Below are 11,181 nucleotides of genomic sequence, written 5' to 3'. Positions count from 1 at the left end.
CAAGTGAGATGATCAGCTACTATCATAATTTTTCTCCTCTTTCCCCTTCTTTACCTTATATATTTGTTTCTTCTTCTTTTGTATTATTTATAAATTTTAGCAGCAGTGAGGCCCACTCTCGAGCTCAGATGACTAGGTTTAGAAAGTTGACTAGTGCCCTACTGTATGTGTGAGAAGAAATAAGAAAAGTCCTTAATATGGAAGCTTGAAGGTAACATTTGCACAGGTGAGGCATCTATCCTGACTCCTCAAAATTCATGTTAAAATTGTCTTCTCTTTCATTGGTATTGGCTGAAGAGTGTCATTTCTTAGATTAACTATGTCTTTGATGTTTTATAAATTATCTCATAATTTATTGCTTATTTTGTTTCTAAACATTAAAAAATGGAGTTTGTGAATTTTCCTGAGATTGGACAATTTTAATATGTTAAATGATACCTCTTATACAGTAAAATTTCTCTCAAACTGAGTGCTGTGAGTAATGCCTGAAACTTAAATTTTCCTTGGCTAATAATAGTCTTCATTACAAACAACCATTTTTTAACCCTATCAGGGCAAAATAAGAACTTTCATTGATATTTCTTCACTGAATTACTTCCAGCACTCAGAGAAAGACATTTTGTTCACATTTCGAAGGTCCTGCACAAAATCATTTTAATAAGCCTTGACAAACAACATCCTTCTCGGAATGTTGATTCATAATTATTGTATGTGGCTACATAAACAACCAATTATTTTCAGTGAGTCTTCAAATGTGAAAATGCATTTTGTTTTCAATGCAAACACTACAACCTTTACAAAATGTCAATAAATAAGAACCACTGGTCCAAGGTAAGATGTATGAATAGGTCTACGGTTATAAATAATGTGACAAACCAAAACAGTAAGTAGTACTTTTTTTCAGTTTTTATCAGAACATAAGAGTGGAGATTGAGAAATTGTGGAAGGTTCTGTTACAGCAGTAGCTAACTCCACTAATCATACTGCTGGGATATAAAATTATCCCCACATCCCACACCCCATCCAACTCAACCACTCAGCCTCCTACATAACATCCCCAGTACATGTTACATCATCTCCTTCCCGGTTGCCAGAGCAACATAGTTTATCCCTGCCATATCTGAGCTGGGTGGAGAAAAATGAGGCAAAGCTTCTTCTTAAAGTAATGTTCATGAGTCAAGTTCCCAGCTTGGATGTTAACCCAGAGAATTTCTCTAATAGTTTATGCCAGGCCCCCTTCACCTCTTTATTCCTTAGACTATAAATCACAGGGTTCAGCAGAGGCATAACAATGGCATAGAAGACAGAGATCAGCTTCTCTTGAAGGACTGAGGGACCAGAGTGGGGCTGGATGTAAGTGAAAATCGTTGTGCCGTAGCACAGGGCAACCACCGTGAGGTGAGAGGCACACGTGTGGAAGGCTTTCTTTCTTCCTTCTCTGGACTGGATCTTTAGGATGGTGGAGATGATCCGGATGTAGGACAACAGAACCAGGCAGAAAGGTGTCATCAGAAGAACAATGCTAGACACCATGATGGCAGCCTCATTGGAGGAGGTGTCCACACAAGCCAGCCTGACCACAGCTAGGAGTTCACAGGATATGTGATCAATAAACTTGTTAGTGCACATGGGCAGCTGAAAGGTGATAGCAGTCTGCACAAGAGAGTTGATGGAGCCACTGACCCAGGATGTGATGGCCAACCTAGCACACAGCCCTCCATGCATGATGGCCGAGTATCGCAGGCGGTCAGACACAGCCACATGGCGGTCATAGGCCATCACTGCCAGGAGAACAAACTCAATCCCACCCAAGGCCAGGGAGAAAAATAACTGGGCTGCACAGCTCTGGAATGGGATGGCTTTATGTTCTGCAAGAAAATGTGCCAGCAGCTGGGGGACTACGCTTGTGGCATAGGAGACATCGACAAGGGAGAGGTTGGTGAGAAAGAAATACATGGGAGTGTGGAGTCGGCTGTCCAGTCTGATCAGAAGGACAATGAGACAGTTCCCCAGCACTGTCATGAGGTATGTGACCAAGAACAGGGAAAACAGGGATATCTGAGTGCACCAGTCACTGGATAAGCCAAGGAGAATAAATTCTCTCACCCACGTCTGGTTATCTATTTCCATTTAAAAATGTGAGGAATATTAATCTGTAGAAAGAGTCAGAAAAAAACAGAAGCTGTTGAATCAAAGAATCATAAGAATAACTTCTTAGGAATGCATACTGTATACGACATTCCAGCCTTGGCCAAATATTTTAGATAATTCACAAGGCCAAGATGACAGGCTTGTTTCCAACATACACTATATTTACTTTGCATTAGAGAGACAGTAGTGCTTTCATAAGGACATGATGTGGACTCAAATAAGCCAGTTAAAGCCTGTAGATAATGCAGTGCAATTTTTGGAAGCTTTACCTCTTTACTAGCTTACCTCAGTATCCAGGGCAGGGAGTTTGTTTTCTGATGATGTCAGCAAAAAGGAAGAATAGAAAGTCCCAGGCTCTACTCTTCTCCACAGAACATTCAACTAGCAACTATCCCCAGACCAGAATATCTCTTTTAAAACTCCACTACTTGGACACTAACATGAGACAACCACAAGGTACGTGGAATGAAAATTGAATTAGAAGGCTAAGAAGCATAGTTTCACTTCAACCCTGCCACCTTGCCTCCTGCCAAAGTCAACACAACACCAGACAAAGAGGGTTTTCCTGGGCCCATGGTTTTTACAGGAGGAAAGGAAAACTAGAGGCAGTCATTCAGCATCTCTAGTTTTCCAAGATGCTTCTCAGAAATCCCACTCTGGGCTTATCTCATGGAGAACACTGGGGGTAACAGCATAGCTAGACTACCTGGTGTCAAGTAAAAACAAAGAAAGGAGGCAGAGGTCTTAGTGACCAGCACACAGATCATGGCATTACCTCTGTGTTCTTGCTAGCTGTGGTGCCCAATCTGAGACACTAGTCAACTTCATAGTTCATTTACAAAGCTAAGCTGGTCATCTTCAGAAGCATGGTGGGAAGTACAACCTAGCTTGAGGCCTTAGATAGCTAGTCCCCATGTCCAGTCTCAGAGCCCACACCAGTGACCTCTGCCAAGACAAGGAGATACACACCTCCACCCATTTCAGAAACACACATGAGGTAGACCTGCTTAACCCAGGAAGTCAATCCATGGCTCTACTCAGCTAAAAGGCCCCATCAAGGACATCTACATGCCTTTCAGAGAAGCATGAGGGCTAGAACTGTTTGACCTGGGAAGTCAAACTCAATTCAGCCAAAAGCCCATCTTAAAGGGAAGAAACCCTACAAGGAAGCTCCACCTTAACAGGGAAGCAACCATCAATTGTGTTTTTCTGAGTGTAGCCTCTGGCCTCAATCATTCTAAGCAGCAACTTCTCCTAACTTTGGAGTTCAGCCTACAGCCCTGCCCAACTGCAAATCCCAGAAAGCATAATTTTCCAGCCAGGGAATAAATTCTGTGACTAGTCTGACCAGAAGCCATTGCAGTACGCAGTCAGTAGCTCTGTGTGATAACAGAGCTCAGCCAGTGGTCTTGCCAGACAGCAGGGCCCAGTCAATAGCCCCAGCCAATATCAGAGCAAAGACAGCATCCCAGGCAGGTAGAAAATCCACAGTTAGCTTTGCTTGCCCAGGGCCATTACCAGCTGGCCCTTGAAGAATTACAGGCTACACTAAATAGTATAGGTCTAGCCCTGCCAAAGAACACCTGTAAAGGCCAGAAGGAGGGGGTATCTCTTCAAATGAAAAGATAACAATGCAAAGACACAAGGATTACAAAGCACTGGGGAGTTATGACACCTCCAAAAGAAACTAATAAAGGGCTAATAATGGACCCTAAAGAAATGGAGATTTATGGGGTGACAAAAAATTCAGAATAATCCTCTTAAGTTAAAAAAAAGTACCAATAGAAATTTTAAAAAATTTGGAAAAAAATACACAAACAAGATGAGGAGTTTTACAAATAAATAGAAACAATAAAAAAGAACCAAATAGAAATCCTAGAGATGAAGAATAAAAAGACTGGATTGAAAAATTCAATTAAAAGTTTCAATGGCAGACTCAAGCAGAAGAAATATCAGTGAGCTGAAAGAACATTTGAAATTATCCAGTCAGAGGGGCAAACAGACAAAAGAATGAAAAAGAACGAAGAAAGCCTGTAGGAATTATGGGAGACCAATCCTTTATATAATAGGAGTTGCAGAAGGAGGAGAAGGAGAAAAAGGGGCAAAAACCATATTTAAAGAAATAATGGCTGAAAAATTCCCTAATCTGGAGACAGAAACCAACATCCAGGCACAAGAAGTTCAAAGATCTCCAATCAAATTCAACCCAAAAAGGAGTTCAGCAAAACACATAATAATCAAACTATTGAAACTCAAAGACAAAAAGAAAAGGATTCTAAGAGGATCAAGAGATAAGAAACACATCACATAAAAAGGAGTTTCAATACAACTCTTAGCCGATTTCTCAGCAGAAATCCTGCAGGCCAGGAAAGATTGGGATGATATAGTCAAAATGCTGAAAGTAAAAAACTTGCCAATCAAAAATACTTTACCCAGAAATACCTGCATTTCAGAAATAAAAAAGAAATAAAAACTTTCCCAGACAAACAAAGGCTAAGGGAGCTCATCACCACTAGGTCTGCCTTATAAGAATTATTAAAGAAAGTTATTCAATCTGAAGCAAAATATTACTAATTAATAACATATAACTTACAAAAATAGAAAATTCAGTAATATAAGTAAAACAGAGCCGTACTCAGAATACTCTAGGACTGTAATGATGGTGTATAAAGCAATTATATCCCTAGTACAAGTATTAAAAGACAAAATTACTAATAACAACTACAGCTAAAATAAGTTACTGAAAGATACACATTAAAAGCAATGGTAAATTCTGGGCCGGGCATAGTGGCTGACATCTGTAATCCTAACACTTTGGGAGGCTGAGGCATGTGGATCATTTGAGGGTCAGGAGTTTGAGACCAGCCTGGCCAACATGGGGAAACCCTGTCTCTACTAAAAATACAAAAATTAGCTGGGCATGGTGGCAGGCACCTGTAAACCCAGCTACTTGGAAGGCTGGCACAGGAGGAGAATTGCTTGAACCCAGGAGGCAGAGGTTGCAGTGAGCTGAGATCATACCATTGTACTCCAGCCTGGATGACAAGAGCGAAACATGGTATCAAAAAAAAAAAAGTAATGGTAAATTTCAATATCAAAAACATAAAATGTGGCTGGGGGACTAAAAGTGTAAAGTTGTTGGATGCAATCAAAGTTAAGTGGTTATCAGCTTGAAATAGGCTGTTTTAACTGTAAGATATTTTATGTAAGCATCTTGGTAACCACAAAGCAAAAATATTTAGTCAAAGCACAAAACAAAAATAGAATTGATTCAAAACATACCACTACAGAAAATCATCAAACCACAAAGGAAGACAGCAAGAGAGAGAGGAAGAAAAAAAAAAAAAGTAGAACCAGAAAAAAACAAAAACCAGAAAACAATTAACAAATGGTAGTAGTAAGTCATACCTATCAATAATTACTTCAAATGAAAATGGACTAAATTCTCTAATAAAAAAGACATAGAGTAGCTGAATGGATTAAAAAAAAAAAAGAAGACTCAACTATACGCTGCCTACAAGAGACTCTGCTCACTTTTAAGGATACACATGGACTGAAAGGGAAGAGATGAGAAAAGATAATCCACACAAATAGAAAACAAAATACAGCGAGGGTAGCTATACATATATGAGAAGAACAGATTTTAAGTCAAAACTATAAAAAAAAGAAGGCCAGGTGCGGTGGCTCACGCCTGTAATCCCAGCACTTTGGGAGGCTGAGGCGGGTGGATCACCTGAGATCAGGAGCTCAAGACGAGCCTGGGCAACATGGTGAAACCCCATCTCTACTAAAAATACAAACATTAGCTGGGCACAGTGGCATGTGCCTGTGATCCCAGCTACTCAGGAGGCTGAAGCAGGAAAATCACTTGAGCCTGGGAGGCGGAGATTGCAGTGAGCCCAGATTGCGCCATTGCACTCCAGCCTTGGTGACAGCGCGAGACTCCATCTCAAAAAAAAAAAAAGACAAAGAAAAGCATTATATAATGATAAAAGGATCAATTCATCAAGAAGATATAAATATTATAAATATATATGCAGCCAACATTGGAGCACTTAAATAAATAAAACAAATATTAAAGGATCTGAAGTGAGAGATAGACGGCAACACAATAACAGTAGGGGACTTCAATACACTAGGTTCAACAATGGAAGAATCATTTAGACAGAAAATTAATGAGGAAACATTAGACATGAAAAACACTTTAGACCAAATAGACCTAACAAACATATACAGAGCATTCCATCCAACAGCAGCAGAATACAGCTTCTTTTCAAATGCGCACTGAACATCCTTCTGTACAGTATCCAGGCGAGGAAGGATGGTAGGTAAAATGGTAAACAATGAATATAAACATGGTTCAAATATCTACCTTGCATATATATCTACCCTGCATATATATCTACCCTGCATATATCTACTACATCAAACATGATGAAATGTATAAATAAATTACCAAAAAAGATTCTGAAGAGACAGAGGTATAGTAACAACGGAAAGATAGAGTATTAGAGAATCTGGATGTGAATCTTGTTTCTTATGACTTACCAGGTGTGTGATTTGGGTTATAAACTTAATTTTTTATATTCAAAATGGGATAATATTACATAACTCACTAGGATATGTAAGCTCAAATATAGATAACTCATGGAGAAACCTCTTCATAAACTGAGCCTCAGAGCCAAACAATCCACAACCCTTTCTGCTTCTTGAGACCTGGAACAAGCTACTTAGCCTTTATGCACTTCATATTTCTTTATCTGTAAAATATGGATGAATATTGGTTAATTGAAAGGTATGTTGGTGAAAGGTATGTTAGGTAGTAGTACTCTAGCAGTACAGGTATTAGTGGTAATATGACCTCTACTCTGGGGGAGACAAAGTAACAAACAAGTTTTCCCCTTACATCCCCTCAAGTTCAGACTTTTTGAAAAAGGAAGCAAAACTGTTAATATATTTAAAGTCTTGGAGGTAACTTATACTATTTGAAGTTCCTGGGAACTTTGGGTCTTACTGAGGATTTAGGCTCTTTCAATCTTTGGCAAAAGAGGAAGGGGAGTGGTAAATATATCTTGTTATTTTTATTTTTCTATTGTTCTGTTTATTCCTACTCACTCTTTTTATTTTTCTAAGAAAGCCTTTGCATATGGTCTCAGAAAAAAGATGGTAGGAAAATGGCTGCTTAAGCTTTCTAGCATAAAAGAAAAAACACATCTGGAAACCTTTGTTGACTATATAGCAGATCTGCCTCCACAGCAGGTATTTCATTTTCAATTAATTTGGCAAACAACTATGAAGTGCCATTTTTACTAGATGCTGAGATTTCAAGGTGAATATTACATTTCCCTGTCCTCAAAGAGCTGACCTGGCAAGTGGAGTGAAAGACACAGAACAAATTGTTATCACAAAATTTGTTCCTCTGCTGCACTATGACAGCTGCCTGGAGAACATGCAAGCCCATGACTCATATGCTCTTCTCACCCACTCTGCACATCTCTCTACTACAGCCTTTGTCTCACTATGACTGATTGACAGCATCACATCCTAGAAAAAGCATGAGCCTCAAAGCCAAACAATCCACATCCCTTTCTGCTTCTTGAGACCTGGAACAAGCTACTTAGCCTTTACGCACTTCATATTTCTTCATCTGTAAAATATGGATAAATATTGGTTAATTGAAAGATATGTTGGTGAAATCTAATGCACTGAAGATCTAAAGTTGCTACACTAATGACTGAATCACTTTAGTGCTCATCATTTACTGATGATAATTGGTTGACCTTTCATTTCATGCCCTTGATAACTTTCATAGCATATTCTTTCATTATTCCCCCTCCTAGCATCCTCTGGTTTATCTTGCTCTTGATCAGCTCCCACTTGCTCATTATAAAAACTATACAGTTCTTTTGGGGAGAAGACCTTTTGCTACATAATTATCATTTTAATTCTCTCTTTTCTTTCACATCCAGCATTCCCAAAGGATTGGTATCCACTTGTTGGGTTTATTTCCTCATAACATTCATTCTTTAGGCCCTGAAAATCTAATTTCCACCTTCACTAATCTATAGAAATTGCACTCTTAGAGGTCACTTGTAGCTTTCTAAAAATCATATCCAGAGACTTTTATTCTACCTTCATTGTTTGTCTTTTAACACATTTAACTACTTGTTTCTTAAAACTCTCAACTCTGTGAAACTCTTCTGTCCTGATTTTATTCCAAACTTATTTTTTTTCTGTATTCCTGGATAATTATTTCAAATTTTTCTTATTCCATCGCTGTAAGTATTTTCTAAGTTTCTGTGCTCAGAACTTGCTCTCTCCTTTCTATAGCTTTTCTTTGAAGGACTTATCTTAACTATAATAATTCTTATCAACTTTATATGGCCCAATCTCAATTCTATATTTATCTCCTATACTTCTCTCCAAAGGTTCAGTTGCCTCCTTCAACAGCTTAATGAATGTATTCTAAATATTTCACCATAGACTCAACTCACATCTCTACAAGCACCTGACTCCCTTATTTCTATCAATGGAACTAAAATTCTTCCACTCTCCCAATGTATCATGTTTAATTTTTCTCTTTCTTGCCCCTCCTTGGAATATATCAGCTTCTTGTATTCTTGTGTTACATACCTCCCATCTATCCTTAGTTTTCATTCACACTGCTAATGCCTTAACACATGCCCACATGCCTCATCACTTCCCATCTGATGAAATACAATCACCTGCTTATGAGTCTCACTGATTTGCCCTGGGCCCACTCCAAACCACCTTACACTGTAAACCAAACTGATTATCCTAAAATATATTCATACCTAAATTATAATCATGTACAAACATATCTTACGATGTCTGACTACAGGGCTAAGTATATTCTGGACAGAGGAGTGTCCAAATTCTTGATAATAGGTCCTATCCTATCTTTTATTTTATTAGTTGTAGCATTTATTATCATGATGTGTTTAGAGCAAAGTTTTCACTAAAATATCCCTCTAATGCTAAATACCATTCACAAGTATGTCAGCTAATTATTTTTAATCCATCAGACTATATTTAGCATTGCCTTGATTTTAAAATAATTTAAACCTAAAATAACTGATATCCAAATATTCCTGGTTTTTAGCCATAGAGCCCTTCTTAGATTCATGGCAGATAAAAAAAATAGAAATAGTGTCTGCATTTATAAAGATAAATGGAGGAGGAAATGTGTTAGATGATTTTGACACACCTGCAGTTAACACCATCTCCTCATTATCTTGGACTCAGCTTTCAGCTAAATAGAGCTGGATTCCTAATCTGTCTTCAGAATGAAGAATGAAATACTTGCTAGATGGTGTTCTGCATATCCAAACACTTGGTGTCAGAAGTCTAAAGCCTGGTCTACTCCAGTGTTTCAGGGGATCTGAAACTATCCCAAAACCTGTTTCTCATTGATATCAACATCAGTGAAAGACAACATCAAAAAAGATAGATTTTTGAGAACATTTGATCCATTTTTCTCTGTGCAAAGAATTCTGGTTTGGTTACCTGACTTTTCACACATCTGAGTCCAATTATCTAGACCCAGTTTCTCAAATATGTGCATCTCTGACATTCACCTTTGGTAACATAGTTTATTATGGTCTTATTGTGTAAATTTTCACCTTTATATTTCTCATTCCCCTAGCCTTAAGGGGGATAAGAAACAGAGCCTTGAATCATATTTTCTATTTCTCCTTTTTTTGTTTTTTTTTTTTTTTTTTTTTTTTTTGAGATAGAGTCTTGCTCTGTTGCGCGGGCTGGAGTGCAGTGGCACGATCTCGGCTCACTGCAACCTCCACCTCCCAGGTTCAAGTGATTCTCCTGCCTTGGCCTCCAGAGTAGTTGGGACTATAGTATAGGGCAAAGGATGCAGCTTTTGTTCAAAAGTCAGTTTTGAATGTGAGCACAGATAAGAGTCAGCTCTGTTGAGATCTTCCTCCTCTACAAGCCTGTTTTTGTGCTCTTTTCTCAGTACTCATCCCAACTCCCGCTGTTTTATCTTTTTGAAGACACCCCATTTTCCTTTAATAATAAAATCCAATTTTACATCCGCTGGGTCATATTATCCTCATACTGGACACACCTCAAACCATACCTCTCTATATATGTTTTGAGATTTTGTTGTCCATTCAAAAATAATGTGTGCTGTCTGTTCAGAACATAGTATTGAAAAATGACATACCTCTGAGGTTCATCTTCTTAGACATGAGCACCAAGAAAAAAAGACTTCCTCATGCCTGTTTTATGAATTGTAGTGGATATAGAGTAATTTCTTTGGTCATAACAAATAGAACACAATAAGTGATAGAATAAGAAAGTTGCCATTAAAATATTCTGCTACAAATTATCTCTTTTTTGCCATGACTAATGCTTGAAATTCCAATATTAGTAATTTATTATTTTATATTGAAATTGTCTTTCTTGTGAATTTTTAGATGTAATTATTCTAAATGGAATTTTTAAAATATGAATTACCTGGCCTTATTGTGACCCTTTAAAATAAGTCATGCAAGAGCAGAAAACTGAGACCCTTACAAATGGGTAGAGAGGAGGAATGACATTTACATTGTAGGGAAAATTAGACATGAGGTATAGATAGCAAAGACCAAACCTCATTGTTAAAATATTACTTTTGTTTGCCCTAGTTAAAAGTATCATCATGTACTGTCTGTTATTAGCCTTTATTAATGGTTACAGTAAACAGAGACATGATGTCTTCTTCCTATGACAGAGGATACAAGCAAAAAACAAATTTTTAGATTCCTAATATATAAAACATTTTATACAACAATACAGATAATTAAAAGTTTCTATTTTAGTTAGTTATGGTTTTTTGTGTAAATCAAGAGAATCTAATTATTTAGCATTTAACATATTTGACCTTCCGTATTGGGGATCTAAATAATCTTGGCTAGGACAAGTGAAAGCCTAAATACAGAAACAGAGCAAAAAAGGGCAAATGTTTCTTTCTACTAGTCAAAACAACTCAAAGTCATACCTTTACGAAGT

At 37.7% G+C, this 11,181-nt stretch overlaps 1 protein-coding gene across 1 annotated transcript, besides 1 other annotated feature; it reads right to left on the bottom strand.

The window, feature by feature from the left end:
- Nucleotides 1–1,176: 1,176 nt before the first annotated feature.
- OR2F2 (olfactory receptor family 2 subfamily F member 2) lies at nucleotides 1,177–2,130 on the bottom strand. The gene has a single exon (NM_001004685.1). It carries the CDS (start codon nucleotides 2,128–2,130, stop codon nucleotides 1,177–1,179), a length of 954 nt encoding a protein of 317 aa, NP_001004685.1.
- Nucleotides 1,282–1,781: an enhancer, noted in NCBI's record as "NANOG-H3K4me1 hESC enhancer chr7:143632675-143633174 (GRCh37/hg19 assembly coordinates)". NCBI's record gives its function as "activates a minimal SCP1, AML or CMV promoter by ChIP-STARR-seq in primed H9 embryonic stem cells {active_cell/tissue: H9 hESC(primed)}" and the evidence as "EXISTENCE:reporter gene assay evidence [ECO:0000049][PMID:30033119]".
- Nucleotides 2,131–11,181: the final 9,051 nt, after the last annotated feature.

The sequence above is a fragment of the Homo sapiens genome, chromosome 7, assembly GCF_000001405.40.
Source record: "Homo sapiens chromosome 7, GRCh38.p14 Primary Assembly".
In the NCBI taxonomy this organism is placed as follows: Eukaryota; Metazoa; Chordata; class Mammalia; order Primates; family Hominidae; genus Homo; species Homo sapiens.
Note: the sequence above shows the minus strand (reverse complement) of the source record. Positions and strands in the feature narration are given on the sequence as shown.